Raw genomic sequence first — 23,575 nt, forward strand, 5'->3', positions numbered from 1 at the left:
TCCTGTGCGTGTAAAAATATATGTAGGGCTGGGTGCCAAGGCTCATCCCTGTAATCCCAGCGTTTTGGGAGGCCAAGGCAGGAGGTTCACTTGAGCCCAGGAATTTGAGATGAGCCTGGGCAACAGAGCAAGACCCTGTCTTTACAAAGAAATAAATTAGCTGGGCATGGTGGTGCACATCTGTGGTCCCAGTTACTCTAGAGGCTGAGGCAAAAGGTTTGCTTGAGCCCAGGAGTTCAAGGCTGCAGTGAGCTATGATGGTGCGAGTGCACCCCAGCCTGGCGGACAGAGCAAGAGCCTGTCTCAACAGCAATGACAGCAAAATATGTGTAGGAATAACATGATAATGAGGGAAGCTACCATGCCAGGGTATTTGTATCCCATACCAATGTGTCTTATGGAGATTTCTCCATTTCTTTACATGAAAATTTGGTATTTCAATCCACACAATATGTCTGAACATTTACAAACATGTACAGGAGCTTCCCTCCACCCCTTTATAAACATTAATGTATTTGCCTCTCCCTGCCTGACCCCTTCTGTCCTTGCCCTGCCAAGGGCAGGCCTCTGCCTTTAGGTGATAAACACTGTGGAGTCTATCAACTTCCATCAGACAAGATTTTTGTTGAGTTTATCTTCTGTAGTTTTTAATAATGATGATGATAGTTTTTGTCCTTTTCTGAGATATAAAATTATTATTGGTTTATTTATTTACTATTGGTTTATTATTATTTATTATTAGTTTCAAATTATGCTTGGTCCCAGGCCATGCCCATCCTCTCCGCAAAGTGTTCCATTCCCTCTGTCTTTTCTACAGGATAGGGAACAGATTCAATGACTTACCCACCCAGGATCTCACAGCTAAGTAGTGGCAGAGGGAGCCTCATCTCTCCTCTCTGATGCCGATGCTCTTCGTTACCCCGTACTATCTTCCTCATTGATAATTAAGTTAATACACACAGTATTTGAGGATGCAGCCTGTGACATGCTGTGTGATGCTTCTGTGGATCTACCAGCAACAATATTAGTGAGGTATTTATCTCTGGTCATATCTTGCTCCTCTCACCTCAGCAGTAGTGGAGAGAAAGCCCCGTTTTACGATCTTTCTTCTTGTTCCTCTCTGTTCCATCTTTGTATTACAAATGGGATGGGCACATTATAGGAATAGTAGGGGCAGAATGAGACTTCCTGTTGCTCACCTCCAGCCTTTTTCTAGGAGGACACAGAATTACCACTGCAAGGCCAGACGCCTCATGGTTCACCAAATATATTTTCAACTTATTTTGTACAAATTCTATCCAAACTCATTCAAGAAAATTTTTATTGAAAATTTACCAATTTTTTATTTGTCATTTTATCCTGTAGTGTCTAATAACATATGCCATATGACCCAAGGATGTCTGAAAACCCCTAAATCCACCTGGGAACTTTTCTTTTGTAACTTGGCTGACAATGTATCCTGAACAAGAGGAATAAAATACCATTACTATTCTTTTTTTTTTTTTTTTTTTGAGACGGAGTCTGGCTGGCTGGCGACAGCCCAGGCTGGAGTGCAGTGGCGCGATCTTGGCTCACTGCAAGCTCCGCCTCCCAGGTTCACGCCATTCTCCTGCCCCAGCCTCCCGAGTAGGTGGGACTACAGGTGTCCGCCACCACGCCCAGCTATTTTTTTTTGTATTTTTCAGTAGAGACAGGGTTTCACTGTGTTAGCCAGGATGGTCTCGATCTCCTGACTTCATGATCTGCCTGCCTCGGTCTCCCAAAGTGCTGGGATTACAGGCGTGAGCCACCGCGCCCGGCCTACTATTCTTATTCTTGGTAAATTGTTCTTATTGCAGATATGTCTGTTCTTTATATCTAAGTTAAACAGCTTTTGGAAAACAGAAGACATTCACCAGATTGGAATCAAGGTAACTACAAGGTAGTGAAGAGCTCACTCTCTTCCAGCAGTGTTTAAAAAAGAACGTTGAACGCATAGTGTATCAGTTGCTATAGCTACCCCTATGGTTTTATTGTTGCTTATGATGATGCATAGGTATCATTAGCACAAAGAATAAAAATAAATCAGAAGTAACTGGCCTTAAAACTTTGGAATCACAGGCAACATGCATCTGGCAATTTCAAACTGAAATATATTGACTATCCAACATAGCCTCTTACATAGTCTTAAAAAACAAACAAAAAACAAGCAAAGGTAGTTTATGAGCTGGTTTTATTTATTTATTTATTTTATTTTTTTATCTGGTTGCCGGCATTTAGGGAACTACACAACAGACTTACCTATCATAGTAACTAGGTGTGACTGAATATCTGTCAGATTTGCAGTTCTTGTGGGAATATGATTACTGAAATTTGTATCTCGATCATGATCAAGTGTTTCAGATTCTATTAGCTGCAAAGGAGAATAATACTTGGGTGATTGTAACCTCTTTGCTGTAAGGTAACAGAGATTAATCATTGAAAGAGAATATTTTAAAAATAAGACCTGTTAGGACATGGAGTACTTTCTTCAGGTCTGATTTAAGGAATAAATATACCTAAAAGTCTGATACATATTCAGACTAACAGAATATTTCCTACGGTGTTTTTCCCATTGATTTCTTATGGATGTTTGTTCATGAAAAGGCTTTACTTGTGTTTACCTTTGAAATAGGCCTGTTGAATGTAGTGAATTTGGTAAAGATTTCTCATAAAATAGACACAAGAATTCTTTTGTGCTTGGTTTGCTCCAAATTGGGGCTAGTCACTTCTGGTCATGGGGAAAGGACGTTGTTCTAATAGCCACTCATAGTTATTATTTTTGGCTTATTATTCTCTGATGAGGAAACAGGAACCTGACTTTTTGCCGGATTCCCAGGACCTATGTCTTTAAAGACTGGGATTATCATCCTTCCCTAGAGAGTTTCTGTTAGGGAAAGAGGACCATCTGGGGAGAGAGTAAAAGTTCTTTTCAAGGGGACACGAAAGAGCTCAGAAAGAGCCAGAAGGAAAAATGGAGCTAACCTATTTCCTTGTCTGTAGCCCCAGGGATGAAATAAGTGAAGGAGATAAACTGAAATAAAAAGAAGAGAGAAAAAGATGAAATTTGAGCACAGTGAAAAGTTTTCCCAGAGTTAGGAAAGACTCAAGATATAGGCAAAATGCAAGAAAAAAATTGCAGGGCACATTGATGTGGGCTGAGGCCGGGGGAAACCAGCAGGGTTGTTGTTGGATTTCTTGGAGGACACAGAGAAACAAAGCTTCTTAAAACCCTGGGCTTTTTAGGCAGATGGATCTTTGTCTTCTTAATCTGGAGGGCTAGATGTGTGGTGAAGAAGGCCAAGTGCCCAGGGTCAGAGGTAATTGAGATTTACACAAAAGCAACAGTAGCTACTCTTTATTTCTTTCACTGACTGAATGCATTCATGTATCCTCTTGACCATGTGTTAGTTAGAATTATAAGTCATTATCCTTGCCTTTGAGCATTTGCAATCTAATTAGGAAACATAAATCTCAAAAATAACAATTTAAAGAACAGCAATAAAAAACTGCCTAAATCTTTATGGTTAAACGCAATCACATTTGTTATCACATTAAATGTTTCTCTTTTTTGCCTTTTAATACATCAGTTGATACACGAAACATATGTCCCATATATGTAAATTATAACCCATAATATTACAATGATCCCCTGTGAATCCACCCCCCGCCACCATGGAAATGGAAAATTACCAATGACTTCCATTTACCTTTGTGCTCCTCTCCTCTCCTGTCCCCACCTCCCTCAATGGAATAACCCTCCACTAATTTTTTTGGTTTTGTTTTTTATTACTTGCTTTTTTAAAAAATATAGAATTTTAAATTATATATATATATATATATTTATATATATATATATATATATATATTTATGCTTAAATAAGGTTTTAGTTAGTGCTGTTTTACAGCTATATAAATGTATAATACTTGGAAACTCACCCCATTACTGCCAGCAACATTACCACCACTACTACTACTATTTATATCAATATTATTTAAAAACAGGGACTCACTATGTTGCTCAGGCTGTTAGTAATCTCCTGGGCTGATCTTCCCACCTCAGCCTCCTGAGTAGCTTGAACTACAGGTGCATGCCACCATGCATAGCTCCCTGCAATGTTACTTTACAAAATTCTAGTGTTGTAGGTTGAATAAGTTAAGTGAGTTCATATCTGTATGATATGCCATTGTATTGATATGCTACAAAGTATTTGTCCATTCTGTTGTCCGTGGTCTTTTGGATTATTTCTAGTATTTAATTATTATGAGCAGTAATGCAATTAATATTCTTGTCCACCTTTCCTGGAGAACAAAATCGAGTGTTTCTAGGACACACTTCTAGGAGTGAAGTTCCTAATTTTTGGAGTATGTGAATGGTTACATTTAAGAGATAATGCCAAATTTTTTTCCTAATATTATTGTATCAGTTATATTGATACCTAGAATGTATAGGGAGTTCCTGTTGATCCTGACTCTGGCACTTGGTGTATTTGACATTTTAATTGTGCCAATCTAGAGAGAGTGAAATGGTACGTCACTATGACTTTAATTTGCATTTCTCTGATTTCAAGAGTTTGATATTCTTTTTATTTATTTATTGTCAATATGGGTTTCCTGTTCTATAAAATATCCATTTTTTTGCCCGTTCTTCTTCTGGGTTATTTGTATTTTTTTATTGTTTTAAAGGACATTCTCATTAGTATTTGAATACTATTCTTTGTTTCTAAATGTTGCTAATTTCTACTGTCATTTTATTTTAAAAAATTATTTCCTTATACTGTGTTTCTCTAAATAGATTTTCTAAATTTTAAGATATTCAAATATATCCATCTTTTCTAAGAAATAACTTTTTAGTATTCTTTCTATGTTATTTATGAACTCCTTACCATATGCCCCTCCAATGCCTCTCATTGGTTCTGTGAGAACCAATGTCCTGGTTCTCATACCAGAACCAGGGTTAGTTAGAATCAGGACTTTGTCACCCTTGACACAGTTTCCAGTTTCTACAACCTTCCATTTCCTCAAGGTGATCAATCCAGATACCTGCCTTTATACAGATTATACAACCACCTCCTGGTGACCTCCTCCCTAGGGGGCAGCTAGATGCAACCTACTTGACTCACCCCACTGATGTCCTCACTGGGCATAGACGGGGCAGATATACTGCAACGACAAGCACACAGCCACAATGTGACTCCACAGAGCTCACACCTGCTTGTTCTAAACCTACCAGTTAGAACCCCCATGGGAATCCTGCTTAGGTAACACCCCGGGCCCCAATAAAGGCCATCATCCACAGGTCACTTCCTCTCTCTCTTGCTACCTACCTGCTCGCTGAGCCTGCGTGTTCTGGACGCAATACCCCCACTTCCTGTTGGCCCTGCAAGGGTGCTGCCCTCTTTCTCTGTGATCTGTGAGTAATAAAACACTTCTGTTGTTTCATGTGTTTTGTTGAGTTGCCTCCTCTGTGTCTCACTTGACACACTCTAACCTAACTCTCCTCCTGGCCAGAGCTCTCCTACAGAGTCGCTATCTTGGTAGAAATAAAGAGAACACACGTTAGACAAGAGCCAGAAGAATATCTGCCAGTATCAACATTTCCTGTGGGAGAGATACCTGGTCACAGGTCAGATACTTAGATACTAGGCCGTCTACCTAATGAAGTATCCCATGGAGGCACCTTGTAAACATCCACAACCATCTTCCCTGGAGCCCCATCAGAGCAGGGCTAGAGTTTATTGCCACTGTACTAAGAGAAACTACGACACAAAATTAGAGGTAAAAAATATATCTCTTTCCTAACTGATCTTCCTGGATACCTTTATCATACACCAAAGTTCTATGTACATTAGATTTTTTCAGGCTTTATTTTTTAATCATTAAAAACTCAAACTTGCTGGAAATTAGAGAAATGCAAATTAAAGTCATAATGAGGTACCGTTTTACACCCTGTAGACTGGCAATAACTGAAAAGTCTAATACATCAAATGTCAGAGTCAGTTAACAGTGGTTGTCTACTATTTCACAAAAAAAAAACCCCTCCACGTTATTGACTCTATATGTGAGTATGACATATCCCTCTACTTATTTTAGATCTTCTTTAATATGTTTCACTCATGTTTCATTGATTTCCTACACCAATGAATAACATGCAAATGTACAACACATAAAGATTTACTCCTTTGTAACTTACAGTTCCTGTTGTTTTTGAAAATGACAATCTTAAAAATGTACATTTTCTAAACTTTCACAGGTTTGCTAAATCCTTTTCTTATTTCCAAATAATTGCCTGATTATTCTTAGAGGGCTTACTTAGTAGACAATCAGCTTCAAAAATTTGATTTTTCACCTGCCCCGTTGGAATGTAGTTCCACTTCAAGTTGAAGAGAGACAATGATAGTATGTTCCCATTTGGAATGCTATTTGTTAGAGTTTTCTCTTCTTCCCCTCCCCTCCTCTCCCCTCCCCTCTCCTTTTTCTGTAGCTATCAATTTGTTAGGTTAAGGTAGTTCTAGTCTCTTCTTATATTCCTTTTTTTTTCTTTTTAATGGATGTTGGACTGGATATAGTGGCTCACACCTGTAATCCTAGCACTTTGGGAGGCCAAAGTGGGAGGATTGCTTGAGTCCATCATAGAGAGACCCTGTCTTTACAAAAAATCAGCCAAGTGTGATGGTACGTGCCTATGGTCCCAGCTACTTGGGAGGTTGAGGTGAGAGGATTGCTTGAGCCCAAGAGGTTGAGGCTGCAATGAGGTATGACTGTGCTACTGCATTCCAGCCTGGGTAACACAGACAGCTCCTGTCCCAAATCAATTAATCAATCAATAGATGTCAACTTTTTCCAAATACTTTTTCTGCATCTCTTCATATGATCATAAATTTTTTTCTCCTTTCATCTGTTAATAAGTATTATACAAATTTTAAAATAACATATATAGATTTTTCTAATAGTAAAATGCCCATTCCATTTATTCCTGGGATAAACCCAATTTGGTTAAGGTGTTTAAGTGGTTTTATGCAGCTGAATCTGTTTAATATTTTGTTTATGTTTTGTTTTTTGCACCTATGTTTATGACTGACATTCGTTCTTTTCTTTCTCTAGAAGAGTTTACAAGAAATCGAAAGAATCTGTTTCTTCAAAGATGGTTAAAATTCACTTGTAAAATCATCTGGACTTGGCATTTTATTTATAGAAGAATTTTAAACACTTTCGGAAAAAGTGTTGGAAAATTATAATTTTCCTCAATTCCATTTAGCTAAGTAATACTTTTCCAGTAATTTGTCCATTTCATTTAAATTTTCAAATTTATTAACTTAAACATTTACATCGTATTCTCTTACCTTCTTAATCTTTACTTCATCGGTAATAATAGTTCTTTTTTCCTTTCTTTTCTCTCTCTTTCCCTTCCCCCCATTCCCCTCCCCTCCCCTCCCCTCCCCTCCCCTCTCCTTTTCTGTCTTGCTCTGAGGCCCAGGCTGGAGTCTGGTATTATGATCCCAGGCCGGAGTATGGTGGTGGGATCATAGGTCACTGTGGCCTTGAACACCTGGTCTCTAACAATCCACCACCTCCCAGATAGCTAGGACTACAGATGTGCACCACCGTGCTTGCCTAATTTAACAAATTTTTTGCAGAGATGGGGTATTACTATGTTGCCCAGGCTGGTCTTAAATCCCTGGCTTCAAGCACTCCTCCCACCTCAGCCTCCCGAAGTGCTAGGGTTACAGAGGTGCATCAGCATGTCAGGCTGCCACTTTTTATTTCTAATATTATTTGTTTCTTCTTTCTTACCTTGATGGAGGTTGACATATTCATTTATCTGTAGAGTTTTCAAATCAAAGGATTGGCTTTTTAGTTGTTGTTGATTCTCCCAATTTTATGTCTGCTTTTTTTTTTTTTTTTTTTTTTTTTTTTAAGATGGAGTCTCGCTCTGTTGCCAGGCTGGAGTGCAGTGGTGCAATCTTGGTTCACTGCAACCTCGGCCTCCCGGGTTCAAGTGATTCTCCTGCCTCAGCCTCCCGAATAGCTGGGACTGCAGGCATGCGCCATCACGCTCAGCTAATTTTTGTAATTTTAGTGGAGATGGGGTTTCACGATGTTGGCCAGGATGGTCTCGAACGCCTGACCTCGTGATCTGCCTGCCTCAGCCTCCCAAAGTGCTGGGATTACAGGCGTGAGCCACCGCGCCCAGCCTGTGTCTGCTTTTTATTCCCAGATTTTTGCTTGTATCTTAATAATTTTCTTTCTTCATTTTAATTGAGTTTATATCATTCCTTTTCTAGCTCACGTTGGATATTTTTCTTATTATAAAGCTCTAAATTTTTCTGTGTTTAAAGACTTAAAAACTGAGATCAATACTGCTTTGAAAAATAAATTCTATATATGCCATTAAGATTGGGTTTTCACATTAGTGACTGTTCCAAAAGTCTGTACCATGGGCAGAATAATGGTCTGTGGAGCTCTGACTCCCTGAGCTCTGAGTCATAGCTGTAACTGAATTGCTCTGTGGCCTGCAAAAGGTTGCTTATTTTTCAGGGCTTCAGTTTTTTCATCAATTTGTACCAGTTTCTACATTGTGGCCATTAAAAGCAAAACTGTTCATAAAGAGTCTAGGCTTGGGGCTGACATATAGTAATTATTCAAATCGCAGGAATTATAGATATTCACAAAGGTAAATGATAGATATGTTGTATAATTTTTCATTCCCTAAAAGTTTTATTGAAATCTGTGTTTGAAGGTTAAGATAAGCATAAAAATGTGCAATAATAAATGATTGAAAGATATTATTGAGATATATAGACTACATAACTTGGTATGATTTTGACCTTCTAATAGTTGTTACAATGCCTTTCTAGAAAAACATATTGTTTTGCTGAAAGTCTATGTGGATATGCAAATGCCCCAAAGATTCTGAGATTTCCTGAAGAGAAAGCACATATTATGAAGAAAATTAAATATATAAGAAATTCTAGTTTCTGCCCTCCAGAATAATGGTATTACAGCTCAATATTGTGGGAAAATAGCCAGGCAGGGCAGCTTATTTTGTATAGAAAGTGGCATTTGGATTTCCCTCAATTTTTATTTCATTTATATAAAGTACCATCTAACAATAAATTCCCTTGTGCTCAGCCACCCATTCAACCTTATTTTTTTCCCCCTTTGGTGAACCATTACTTCCTCTTGTGGAATATTTTAATAAAACTTTTGAATAAAATAATCCTTTGATACAGCTGGAAAGGAAGAAAGCATATTTGTCTTATCTGACTACATAAGTTAAAAGTACTTCAGAAATAAGGTAATTTATTTCTCAAAGGGCTTTTATTTTTATCTTTTAAGCACAATGTACTAGCTAACTATAACAGATTGGGAGAAAATACTTGCAAACCATATATCTTATCCATTAGGAGATTCCTATCTAAACATATAAGGAGTTCATATAACTCAATAAAAATAAAAAACAACCAAACAAACAACAGAAAGCCCCAAAGAGCCAAACCCCTCCTAATAACCTCATTAAAAAATGGACAAAGGACATGAATAGACATTTCTCCAAAGAAGACATAGAAATGGTCAACAGGTATATTAAGAGGTGCTTGCCATCACTAATCATCAAGGAAATACAAATTAAAAGCACAGTGAAATATTACCCCACACCTGTTGGGATGGTTATTAGAATAAGTGTTGGTGAAAGCGTGGAGAAAAGGAAACTTTTGTACACTGTTGGTGGGAATGCAAATTAGTATAGCCATATGGAAAAAAGTATAGCCATATAGCCATATGGAAAACAGTATGGAGGTCCTAAAAAATGGATAATAGAACTGCATGAGCCAGCAATCCCACTACTCTGTATATATACAAAGGAAAGGAAATCAGTACCTTGAAAAGATGTTGGCACCCCATGTTCACTGCAGCTTTATTCACAGTAGCCAAGTGACACCTAAGTGTCCATCAATGAATGAATGGACAAATGGATAAAGATAACTTGATATACATACACACCCATACACGTGCATGCATACAATGGAATATTATTTAGCCAAAAATAGAAGGAAATCCTGACATGCTACAACATGGATGAATCTGGAAAATAGTATGCAAATGAAATAAGCCACACACAGACAGATACTGCATGTTCTCAATTATTTTTAGAGTCTACAATGGTCAAATTCATAGAAATAGTGAGTAGAATGGTGGCTAGAATGGTAGTTGTCAGGGGTTGGGGGGAGGGAGAAATGGGGAGGCACTGATCAAGGGGTACAAAGTTTTAATTAGTCTGGATGGATACTATTCTGGAGACCTAACGTACAGCCGTGTGAAAATAGTTAACGATACTGAATTGTATACTTGAAATTTGCTAAGAGGATAGGTCTTAAATGTTCTCACCAAAAAAAAAAAAGAGAAAATGGTAACTATATAAGGTGATGGATATGTTAATTAGATTGATTGTGGCCATTATTCCACAATGTATTCATAGAGCAAAACACTGTCATACACCCTTGGTATATACAATTTATGTTGTGGAAAAAAGAGTGAGGAAGGAAGGAATGAAGGAAGGAAGGAAGGAAGGGAGGCAGGGAAAGGAGGGAGGGAAAGGAGGGAGGGAGGGAGGGAAGGAGGGAGGGAAAAATAGAAAGAGAAGGAAAAATAGCGAATGGGTACAAGGCTCAATACCTGGGTGATGAAATGATCTGTACAACAAAACCCTATGACACGAGTTTACCTATGTAACAAACCCACGCTTGTACCCCTGAACTTAAAATAAAAGTTAAAAAAAGAGAGAAGGGAGAGAGAAAGGGCAGGATGAAAGGGAGGAAAGGAGAAAGAGAGAAAGAGAAAAAAAGAAAAGCAGCCTTTCAGCAAAGTCCCTGGAATGCTTCCTGGCAAATCCTATCTCACTCCCTTCCACCCCCACGCTGAAGCCACTCCCAAGCTCACTGGGTGACATCAGCCTGGGCTCTTCCCCAGAAGGAGATCTCAAGGCCGAGGAGCAGCCATGGAGCTCTCCCACTCTGGGGACCACAAAAATCCCAAAAGTTTCTGAGCTAACACCCTTCAAAAAATTGAGGCCTGTGCAAAACCTACGCACGGAAAGTCTGTTTCTATTTCAGTTGTGTATCAGTTAAGATGGAAAATTTTTAAAGTCCACACAGATGGTAAATAAATTTCTGCTACATGAGGCAGTTCCTGGAATAAAGCAATTTTCTCAAATAACAAGCGCCAACTTATTTTTTTCAGCAGGACTTATTTTTAACTTTCCCAGGGAATGGTTGAGAGACTGAGAGCAATATCCTTCCCCTTAGGAATCTGAGTCTCCTTCCAGAAGAAAAGATTGCTGTTCTCAGTACAGATTTAAATGCGTGTATACACACATATGTACATTAAATGAAGGGAGTGTTGGTTCATTCATTTTCTTGGGGGAGGGGAATGAGTGAGGGAATGAGAAGGTGGAAATTTTGTAGATATATTTCTGTTTTTATCCAATGTTTAGTTTTCTATAACTTACTCCAAACTGTTTGAAATTGATTCATATTCTTGCGTAGAAATTCATTCCATATCTTGGACAAATGACCATTAATCTTTCGGAATCCTTGACATACTGTGAGAATTGGCCTGTGTCCCCAGAAATCTTTAGTAGTAGTCCCCTAGGACATAGTTGAAACCCCCTCATGCTCTGCTGGTTCATGTTTCATTGGGAAGAACCAGCCTTGGGCCTCAATTGGCAGGGAATGCTAGTGTCTTAAACAAGACTATGCCATTTGCCAAATCAGAGTGATTCAAATGTTCCTCCTAGTAGGAGGGATTCCCCATTCAGAAGAAATGCAGGAATTGACTATCAAATAATTAAACTGTGTTATAACCACTAATCATTTTAATGAGGGTATTACTGCAAGTGCTGTGTAAGTATATAGCCATTATAAATTTATTTTCTTTCTTCTTCCTCTTTATTTTTGGGCAGGGTAAACATTTCACTCAGCACTACAGATAATCTATCAATTAACAAATAAATATTTACTGAGTACCTGAATACTAGTCATAATAAGAGTAAGGAAAAAAAGAAATATCTACCTTTGAACTAAGAAGTTATAGTTGAAGAGACACAGAAGGAATTAGAGAACCACCAAGGGCTAAACTGTTTGTGGTGCTGACTATTATTATGCAGGTCAGGGGGTGATATGCAGACTTGATGTGCAGGAAGAGACACCCAGTGTTCAGGTACTATTTATGAGTATACCATCTGCATGGAAACAGGAAGACAGGTTTTCAGTAGAGAATTCTTGAAGTCCTTCTTTAGTGGCTGATATGATTTGGTTGTGTCCCCACCCAAATCTCATGTTTAATTCCCACATGTTGTGGGAAGGACCTGGTGGGAGGTAATTGAATCATGGGGGCAGGTCTTTCCCATGCTGTTCCCGTGATAGTGAATAAGTCTCACGAGATCTGATGGTTTTAAAAACGGGGGTTTCCCTGCACAGGCTCTCTTGTTTTGCCTGATGCTATCCATCTAAGATGTGACTTGCTTCTTCTTCCTTCTGCCATGATACAGTAAATTGGTACCAGTAGAGCGGGGTGCTGCTGTATATACCCAAAAATGTGGAAACATATTTGGAACTGGGTAACGGGCAGGGGTTAGAACAGTTTGGAAGGCTCAGAAGAAGACAGGAAAATGTGGAAAAGTTCAGAACTTTCTAGAGACTTGTTGAATGGCTTTGCCCAAAATGCTGATAGTAATATGGACAATAAAGTCCAGGCTGAAGTGGTCTCAGATGGAAATGAGGAACTTGTTGGGAACTGGAACAAAGGTGACTCTTGTTATGTTTTAGCAAAGAGACTGGTAGCATTTTTCCCCTTCGCTAGAGATTTTTGGAACTTTGAACTTGAGAGAGATGATTTGTTATCTGGTGGAAGAAATTTCTAAGCAGCAAAGTATTCAAGAGGTGTCTTGGGTGCTGTTAAAGGCATTCAGTTTTATAAAGAAAGCAGAGTATTAAAGTTTGGAATATTTGCAGCCTGACAATGTGATAGAAAAGAAAATCCCATTTTCCGAGGAGAAATTCAAGCCAGCTGCAGAAATTTGCATAAGTAACGAGGAGCCAAATGTTAATCCCCAAGACAGTGGGGAAAATGTCTCCAGGGCATGTCACAGGTCTTCATGGCAGCCCCTCCCATCAATGGCCCAGAGGCCTAGGAGGAAGAAATGGTTTTGTGGGCCAGGCCCAGGGTCCTCATGCTGTGTGCAGTCTGGGGATTTGGTGGCCTGTGTCCCAGCTGCTCCAGCCATGAATAAGAGGAGCCAAGGTACAGCTTGGGCTTCAGAGGGTACAAGACCCAAGTCTTGGCAGCTTCCACATGGTGTTGAGTCTGTGGGTGTGCAGAAGTCAAGAATTGGGGATTGGAAACCTCTGCCTAGATTTCAGAGGATGTATGGAAACACCTGGATGTCCAGGAAGAAGTTTGCTGCAGGGGTGAGGCCCTCCTGGAGAACTTCTGCTAGGGCAGTGCAGAAGGAAAATGTGGGGTCAGAACCCCCAAGTAGAGTCCCTACTGGGGCACTGCCTAGTGGAGCTGTGAGAAAAGGGCCACTGTCCTCCAGACCCCAGAATGGTAGATCCACCCACAACTTGCATCGTGTGCCTGGAGAAGCTGCACTCAACACCAGCCCGTGAAAGCAGCTGGGAGAGGGGCTAAAACCTGCAAAGCCACATGGGCGGAGCCACACGGGTGGAGCCACTCAAGATCATAGGAACACACCTCTTGCACCAGCCTCATCTGGATGTGAGACATACAGTCAAAGAAGATCGCTTTGGAGTTTTAAGATGTGACTGCTCCATTGGATTTCGGACTTGCAAGGGGCCTGTAGCCCCTTTGTTTTGGCCAATTTCTCCCATTTGGAATGGCAGCATTTACCCAATGCCTGAATCCTCATTGTATCTAGGAAGTAACTAACTTGCTTTTGATTTTACAGGCTCATAGGCAGAAGGCACTTGCCTTGTCTCAGATGAGACTTAGGACTGTGGACTTTTCAGTTAATGCTCCACCACGCTTAGCTAATTTTTGCATTTTTGTGGTTGTTGAGAAAGAGTTTCGCCATATTGCCCAGGCTGGTCTTGAACTCCTGGACTCAAGTGATCCATCCACTTCAGCCTCCCTAAGTGCCAGGATTACAGCTGTGAGCCACTGCATCCAGCAAAATGACATTTTTTTTTAATAAGCCAAAGAGATCAGATCATAATTTCAGTTTAAAAAGAAAATAAGTTTCTAAATATTGATTGCTGTTTTTTCTGTCATGCCTCAAACGTTTATATCAGGGTTGAATTTTGTTAAAACAGCCTTTAAAAAAAGGTGTTCCCTACGATATAGCACAGATATCTTAATTATTAAAGTTTATTTCAAAAAAATCTTTACTTTGAAGAAAATATTGATTTTCCATTCTGGTTCAAAAGGACTTTAATCTTCTGATTTTGAGGGCCCAGTAAAAGGCCATCTTTTATATTGGGTTTCTGGCTAAGCACAGTGGTTAAAATAATAAATTTCCTGTTATTCTTAGCGTGTGCCCAGAAGCCATGGAGATTTTTGGACTTACTTAGTGAATTAAACAAAGAAAGTGAATAAAATAACCTATTCTGAATAGCGACCATAGAAAATATAGATTATAAACAGTAGTAGTTTCACAACGAAAAGAAAGACATAACTGTCACCACAAACTCTCTTCCAGAGGAGATTCCTCAGTGTATTCCAGCTTGGAGGTGAACTGGGGAAAATACAAACCCTGAGGCTGGTACTCAAATCCCTAGAAGAACATACTAAGGACTGAGGTACATGAGGCTAAAAGTGAGGCTGCAGTGAGTGGCAAGTGTTGGCTGTGTGGGGTCAAGAACTGAACTTGTGATGGGAAGGAGACTATGCATGCCATCTTGGAAAACTAGAGTGAAATTATGCAGACTCTTAAGACGAGAATGAACCTAAACTGCCTTCACTCCCTTCAATCTGGTATTTTCTGCAGTTCCCACATACTTGGGTCATTATTTCATAACCATTTCTCCACTGAATACTGAACCTGTGAAACTAAACTTCCACAAGATAATGTTTACCATTTCTTAGGGCATAGGAGAAGTAAGTAGGTTGCCTCGTGAAGCAGAAAGAAACTGCAGGGGTTAATTGTGATGAGGAAAATACATCCGGTTGAAAGCAAAAAGCATTTTACACTTTTTGTGCTTTAGATAGAATAAATAAGAAGTGCTTATAATACTGCTTCAGAACCCTGATTAGCATCACTCATTGCTTTATAAAAGTTTTTAATGGCTTTCTGTGAACATCCAATGATAATAGCCTTGTTTCGTGATATTTTAAATCATTATACTAATTATCCCAAGTTTAATCTCTATTAAAAAATCTGGATTGAGGTTTTGAAAGTATTAGGAAGATTGAAAACATAAGCAAGTGTATTTCAGTAATTCGAACATAATTTTCTTATGCCCTTAAGAAGTTTAAAGTTTGAAGAGGAGATGAGACATATTTTCATTTTCACATCCACATACAGTGCAGTGTTTTTTTTTTTAGTATGGCTAATACATAGTCAACCATGTAATTTATCACCTAACTCGGACATTCCAGAGAGGGACGTGGGGAGCTAACCAGGCAGGATGTGGAAACAACAGACTCAGACCAGAGTGGTCCAGACAAACCAGAATGAATAGAAAGGAACATGTGCCATAAGATGTTAGAGTTATGAAAGTTTTTCTTATAAGTTTTTATTCTTAGTTTCTTGAGGAGAATGACAATCATTTATTCAACTTTGAATATCTTGTTCATCTTTGAACACAATGACAAATGTTCAACGGTAAAAAAACCCACTGAATTAATGAATTAGTGATTGAATTAACACATGTACATATTTATGCAAATTATCATAATTTTATTGTAGGATACACCTTTTCATGTAAGTGAAATCAAAGAAGATGATTAAAATATCAGTGCCAAGGACATAAGAAGACAGCACAGTAAGTGAATTTTTTTCTCTTTTTCTGGGTACATAGCAAGGGAAGTTGTGCTTTTCTCCTACATCAACCTTACTGAAAACAGAGAGTTGTATGGTGGATTGTGGCTTAGGGAATATGGACTCACTCCTTTGTGCATCTATTCACCCATCCGTCTGCTAGACAGCTTCCTATTTCTCACTATTCCATGTCAGTTACTGAAGCTATGCAGAGGAAGCACATGCTCTCTGCCTTCAAAGAGCATGTAGTAACCCCAAATCAGGGCCTCAGGTTTATTCTCAAACAAGATGAAAAAAAAAATACTAATCCCCATTCATTTTTCTTCCTTCCTCAGTGAAGATATCTTCAAGAAGACAGCGTGGAAGATGTAGCTTTGGTAATTTAAAGAAAGTGGAAGACACAGAAACAGTTACGCGGTAAGTGCTGGTGTGAGGTAATCAGGTATGTACAGCCACTACTGAGAAGCAGTAAGAGCCCGTGGGAGACCAGGAGCACGGATGTACATTGTATTTCTATAAGACTTTGCTATAGTAGTGAGAGTAGGGCTTCAAATTTTAACAAGGACTAATCGCAGAGGATTTAAAAATGCAGGCTGGGAAATATGATCTACATTTGATAAAAAACCAAGACATAGGTTAGTGCTTTTACAAATGGAAATAATCTGGTGATGATGCTTTCTTAGGAAGATTAAATCTGATTAGACTGTGTAGAATGAGCTTGTATAAGAGAGAATACTGGATCCAGAGAGATGGCAAACAATTTATCATATCACTTCTACATGCTGAGATGAGGATTTGGATGGGATGGAGACGAGAAATGAAGACACATAAATAATATATTCCTACACCAGTCATAGAGAAATCATATCCTAACCACCCAACCAATTTTCTTTAGTCATAACTAGGAAAGATCAACCAAGATCACTAAATCGTTAGAAAAAAAAAATCAATAGTAGAGAAACAGACTGCTACACAAAAAGGAATGATTCAGGTAATACCAATAACATATTAAAAAACCTCTAAGAGAATCCCTGTAATTAGTATTTTCAGAGAGATTTGAGAAAATATTACATTTGTAAAACATGAACATGGTACTAGGGAAAACCAGGCAGAGAACACCGTCCATGTATTAGGTTGTTCTCGCATTGCTATAAAGAAATACCCGAGACTGGGTAATTTATAAAGAAGAGAGGTTTAACTGGCTTATGGTTCTGCAGGTTATACAGGAAGCATGGTATAGGCATCTGCTCAGGGAGGCCTTAGGAAGCTTACAATCATGGTGGAAAGTGAAGGGGGAGCAGGCACATCACATGATGAAAGCAGGAGTGAGTGAGAGAGAGAAGGGGGTAGGTGGAGGTGCCACACACTTTTAAACGATCAGAACTCAGAAGAACTCACTCACTATCACCAAGGCATCACCAAGCCTGAGGGATCCATTCCCATGACCCAGAAACCTCCCACCAGGTCCCAACTCTGGCATTTGAGATTACAATTCGACATGAGATTTGGACAGGGACACATATTCAATCTATGTCAGTGCATATTCTTCACCTTCTCTCCTGTTCAGGGATGAACTCTTAGCTAAAGTCTAGCCCTTCTGTTCAAAGATGAACTCATAGCTAAAAAATGCAAGACATCCCGTTAAGGGATGAACTCTTAGCTAAAGTCTAAGCCCAGTCTTTCCTCCGAGCCCTGGATCCCATCCCTTCTCATCAGTTCAAGGCTATCACCGCTAGAACTGTCTCTCCTCAGGTATCAATAATATTTCCTCTACTGAATCATTTCTATCAGCTTCCAATATAATGTTCAAATATCTCCCAATACAATTATTTTAAAAAAATCCCTCTCTGGCTTTCTTTGTTTTCTTTTATAGCAATTATTGAATTTTTAATACATAACTTTGCTCACTTTCTTCAATTCTCGTTCTCCTTTTTGTTCTTGAACCCACTGAAAATAAGCAGATGCTCCCACAAAAACTTGCCTAAACAAGCTGGCCTGTTGGCCTCCTGTTATCAAATGTCAGTTTTCTTCTGGTCTACTTGGGTCTATGCATAGCATTTGAGACATTTGATCTTACTTTCCTTTCAGAAACAGCTTTTTCACCCAGCTTCTAGGATTCCACTCTGATTCTTTTCTCTTATTAGTTCATTCCACCCCTTAGTTGGTTTACTGTTTTATTTTATGCTTCCCTCCTGTAGAAAGTAGGTCCTTTGGAGAAAAGATGTTATTTTGTATCCCTTCCATCTGGAAGAGTGCTCAGTACATTTTAAGCACTTAATATTTGTTTGTTGACTAGGTAACTGAAGGAAAATAAGAAAGTTAAAAATATGACTGCAACAATAAATGTTTCAAAGGACAGTGAATAATAAAATGGATATATCTGAAGACCAAGCTGCTGATCTGGTCCAGTGAGTCAAGAAGATCTCACAATAAGCAAAGCAAAAATACAAAAAAAGGTCGCATAATGAGTGGAAGTTAAGAGACATAGATACAAGTTATTACAAAAAAATCTAATAGGAATTTTGGGCTGAAACAACAGAAACAATGGGAGGTGGCAACACTCATAAAATATTGGAAGGAATATTTCTGAAGCTGATAAAAGTTATGGCTTCTCAGATTGAAAGATTTTAGTTAACATTAGGTTGCATCCAAAAGAAACAAAGCTGCTCTTTGATAACTTTTATAACTCTAGGGAGGAAAAATATCTTGACTATCTAGAGAATTAAAAACAAGCTACTGGTTGGGCAAGGTGGCTCACACCTGTAATCCCAGCAGTTTGGGAGGCTGAGGCAGGAGGATTGCTTGAGACTTGAGACCAGTCCCAGCAACACAGCAAGAATCTGTCTCAGAAAGAAAGAAAAGAAAAGGAAAAGAAAGAAAGAAAAGAAGAAGAAGAAGAAGAAGAAGAAGAAGAAGAAGAAGAAGAAGAAGAAGAAGAAGAGAAAAAGAAAGAAAGAAAGAAAGAAAGAAAAAGAAAGAAAGAAGAAAAGTATACATATCAGCCTGTGTGGTGGCGTGTGTCTGTAGGCCCAGACACTTCAGAGGCTGACGCATGAGGATCACTTGGGCCCAGGAGGTGGGGGCTGCAGTGAGCTATGTTCTTGCCACTTGCAGTCCGACCTGAGTGACAGAACAAAACCCTGTCTCAAAAACAAACAAAACAACTTATTTACAAAAGACAGACATCAGTGTGACATATAGATCTTCTAATATAAAATACTGGGTCACAGGAGAGTTGAGAAATATCATCCAGTTTCTCAAGGGAAAAAATAGAGCATAGACAGTTAAATATGTTTGATTATTGGTTAAAATATGAGCCAAACAAGGACCCATAAAAGCTTAAAAATATATGCACGACAATGTGATTAAGTTATTCAGGGAGATATGTAAACCAGAAAAATAAGAATATAAGAAAGATAAAGAACATGGACATGGGAAAGATGCATAACATAGAAAACAGGAACAAAATAGAAAGAACGTAAAAGAAAATCTTTTAGAACTTGATGCCTGCCTGGTTGATCTTTTAAAGATAGACTATATCTTCTTCCTTTGGGTCCAATTTTACTGCTTTGTTCTGGAGTGAATATTTATGTATCATAAAGACTGCTATGGTCTTTGAATCTTTATCCTATAGGTGAAGCACAGAATGATAATAGTCATTAGATAGAATACATATGCTAAAATCGTAAAAATGCAAAATTCATACAACCAACAAAAATTAAGATACACAGTAGGAAGGAGAAGAGAGGTGGACCAAGGGGATCACTTGATGTCAGGAGTTTGAGACCAGCCTCGCCAACAGGGTGAAACCCAATTTCTACTAAAAGTATAAAAAATTTGCCAGGCGTGGTAGCATTGCCTGTAGTCCTAGCTACTAGGGAGGCTGAGGCAGGAGAATCGCTTGAGCTTGGGAGGTAGAGGTTGCAGTCAGCTGAGATCACGCCATTGCACTGCAGCCTGGGCAACAGAGCCAGACTCCGTCTCAAAATATATAAATAAATAAATATGTAAGTAAAGATAATCTGAGCTGCAGTGTAGAATATGGATTGAAAGGGGTTAGGACCAAAGGCCAAGAGGCCAGTTAAGAAAATGTAGCAGTAATTGGAGGAAAAGATGGCAGAGAATAAAGGAAATGAGTATGAGAGATCATAATTCTCTACGCTTTTGAAATGGAAAGACAATAAATTTAACTAAAATATTAAAAATGAATAAATCAACAAATAGGCTGGGTGCAGTTGCTCACGCCTGTAATCCCAGTAACTTGGGAGGCCAAGGCAGCTGGATCACTTGAGCTCAAGAGTTTGAGACCAGCCTGGGCAATATGACAAAACCCCATCTCCTCAAAAAAATACAAAATCTTAACCAGGCATGGTGGTGCATGCCTGTAGTTTTAGCTACTTGAGAGACTTAGGTGGGAGAATCACCTGAGTCTGGGAAGTTGAGGCTGCAGTGAGCCATGATTGTGCCAGTCACTGCAGCTTGGGTGATGGGAGTGAGACCTTGTCTCAAAAAGTAAATAAATAAATAAAACAAACAAACAGAAGAATAAGCATTTTAAATAAAATAAATAACTGACATTCATAAAGCTAAATACTGGAAGAAGAAAAAAGACATAAATAATAAACGTCCGTTGTTATGAAGGAGAAGCTTTGAGCAAGTATGAGAATACCAGACTCCATTAGAATGTAAGTTTCTGATAGAAAATTTACAGCCCCGTTGTACTGTTATATGAAACTGTGCTTGGCACAAAACATAAGCACTGGTTATAGGTTGAACTGGACCCCTCTCCCAATTCTTATGTTGAAATGTTATCCCCAGTACCTCACAATGTGACTTTATTTGGAAATAGGGTTTTTGTAGATGTAACTAGTCATGTTGTGATGAGGTCATATTAGAGATGGACAGGCCAGTATTCCAACTCAACTGATGTCCTTAAAAAGGGGGAAATATGGACATAGTCACACACACACACGAAGAAGCCCATGTCAACATAAAGGCCTATAGAAAGATAATATACCTACAAGTCTTCAAGCCAAAGAATGCCAAAGATTAGCAGCAAAGCACCAGAAGCTAGGGGAGTGTAAAGGAACCAATTCTCCTTCAGAGCCAATTGAAGGAGCTAACCCTGCCCACACCTTGATCTGGGACTTCTAGACCACAATTACGATGACTTTCTGTTCTTTTAAGCATGCAATTTAAGGTGCTTTGTTAGGACAGCCCAAGAAAATGAATACAGCAGTCAAAGAATATTTGTTAAATGAACAAAGGAAATACCCCATCTTTCACAGGTGGACATTATAAATTTGAAGTAATATCATTAATTAATATGTATGTATATAAATGGAAGCATGTATTTCTAGTCATATATCTAATGCACAGATTGGAGACAGTTAATCATGGTGTCTACAAGAATGGGACAAGTCAGAGAGAGAGAGTTTAACTTTTCATTTTATAATTTCTTTTGCCATGTGCATGTATCATTTACATATTAAAAAGATAAAAATAGTTGATGAATAGAGCAATGCTGTCTGACTAGAAGTGTCTTTATTCAGGTTAAGCGGTGAAATAATTTAAAGCTTGGAATTGATTCAGGAATCTTGACTTCTTAAAACTATAGCTATAGAAATCATGTTTTCTATCAAGCAAAATAAGGTACATTTAATGTAGAGATGTCCCCATGTAATTAACTATACGTCATAGTTACCTTTTATTAGCATTTCTTGAGAGATATTAGGTAGAACTTAAGATAAGTCAATATAGCCTGACGTGATTACGCGATTTAATTGGAACAGAGAGACAGTGAGAGAATAGGATTAATGATTATTGTGACATAAGATCATGCTTGAAGTGCCGTGCTTGTCTTCACTCAATCACTCATTCAACAGAAATTTAATAAATGCATGCTGTACACTGGGCATATGCTAGCTGCTAAGGAGAGAATGGTGACTAAGTAATGAGTGTGACGGTCCCTGTCTTCAAGGAATTTACAGTTTGAATTGGAGGTTTGTATACCAGTTTCCTGAGGCTGCTCTAACAAATCACTACAAACTTAACTGTTCTAAAACAACAGGAATTTTTTTCACAATTCTAGGGGCCAGAAGTCAAAGTAGGTTGGCAGGGCTGTGCTTTTCTCAGAAGGCTCTAGGGCAGAATCTTTCCTTCCCTCTTCTGGCTTCTAGTGGCTTCAGGCGCTCCTCTACTTATGGCTGCATCGGTCCAATCTCTGCTTCTGTTTTCACATGGCCTTGTCTGTGTGTCCATGTCTGCTCCTCTTCTGTCTCTTGTAAGGACGCTTGTCATTAGATTGAGGGTCCACCTGGGATATCCAGGATGATCTCACCTTGAGATCCTTAACTTGATTACATCTGCAAAGACCCTTTTTCCAAACAAGATCATATTTGCAGGTTCCAGGGGTTACAATGTGCATGTACCTTTTGAGGGGCCACAATTCAATCACTACAGTATGGATAAGTGAATAGATGGTTCCAATCCAGTGTGACAGGTGCTATGCTAGGGCACGTACTTGCAGGATGCACAGAGACACCTAGAAGGTGGCCCCATTTCAGTTTTTGAGGGGTTCAGGGAAGACATTTTAAGTGAAGTATCAGGTAAGAAGAAACTTGAAGAATAACCAAAAACTAGTTAGGCAAGGGCAGGGAGGTGAGCTGGGAGAGCTTTCAGGGAGAGAGAGTGTGTGAGAGGTAACTGGAAAAAGTTTAAGTTTGCTGTAAAGTATGGGATGAGGAGAAGGTGAAGATGAGATGGCATAGGTGAACAGGGCCCAGATTGTGACTGTCCTTGAAAACCATGTCTTCCATATTGGAATTTTGAAGCAATAGAAGGGAGAAGTACAGATTTGCATTGTTTAAAGATAATCTCGGGCGGGGTGTGGTGGCTCACACCTGTAATCCCAGCATTTTGGGAGGCCGAGGCTGCTGGATCACTTGAGGTCAGGAGTTCGAGATCAGCCTGGCCAACAGGGTGAACCCAAATCTCTACTAAAAGTACAGAAAAAAGCCAGGTGTGGTAGCATCGCCTGTAGTCTAGCTACTAGGGAGGCTGAGGCAAGAGAATCGATTGAACCTGGGAGGCAGAGGTTGCAGTGAACCCAGATCATGCCATTGCACTCCAGCCTGGGCAACAGAGTGAGACTCTGTCTCAAAATAAATAAACAAGTAAATAATGAAATAAAGACAATCTGAGCTGCAGTGTGGAATATGAATTGGAAGGGGTTAGGACCAAAGGCCAAGAGGCCAGTTAAGAAAACGTAGCAGTAATTTGAGGAAAAGATGGTAGAGAATAAAGGAAATGGATATGAGAGATCATGAAGATGTAAAATTATTATGTTCATTAGAATTGTTAAATAAGACTAAGCTTACAGATGCATTTTTACAGTGTTTCTAAAGTGAAGATTCATTCTCAATCTCTGTTTTTTAGCTTAACTCTCTCTACCTATGATTAGCCCACAGGTACATATGGACAGATAACAATATGAATCTAGCAGCCGTTCTCAATAAACATTTTTAATTTCTGAAATAAGTCTTGTATGCCTGGACTGAT

General features: G+C 38.9%; 1 protein-coding gene and 1 long non-coding RNA gene across 7 annotated transcripts in view; one reads left to right on the top strand and one right to left on the bottom strand.

Moving 5' to 3' along the window:
• DLC1 (DLC1 Rho GTPase activating protein) overlaps nt 1-23,575 on the bottom strand; it is a 521,260-nt gene that overhangs the window by 377,544 nt on the left and 120,141 nt on the right. The gene's annotated exons all lie outside the window — the stretch shown is intronic.
• LOC124901890 (uncharacterized) lies at nt 1,735-17,671 on the top strand. Its single transcript, XR_007060831.1, has 3 exons — nt 1,735-1,910; nt 15,944-16,019; nt 16,351-17,671. It is a non-coding gene; the product is annotated as an uncharacterized LOC124901890 (long non-coding RNA).

Source organism: Homo sapiens, chromosome 8 (assembly GCF_000001405.40).
Source record: "Homo sapiens chromosome 8, GRCh38.p14 Primary Assembly".
In the NCBI taxonomy this organism is placed as follows: domain Eukaryota; kingdom Metazoa; phylum Chordata; class Mammalia; order Primates; family Hominidae; genus Homo; species Homo sapiens.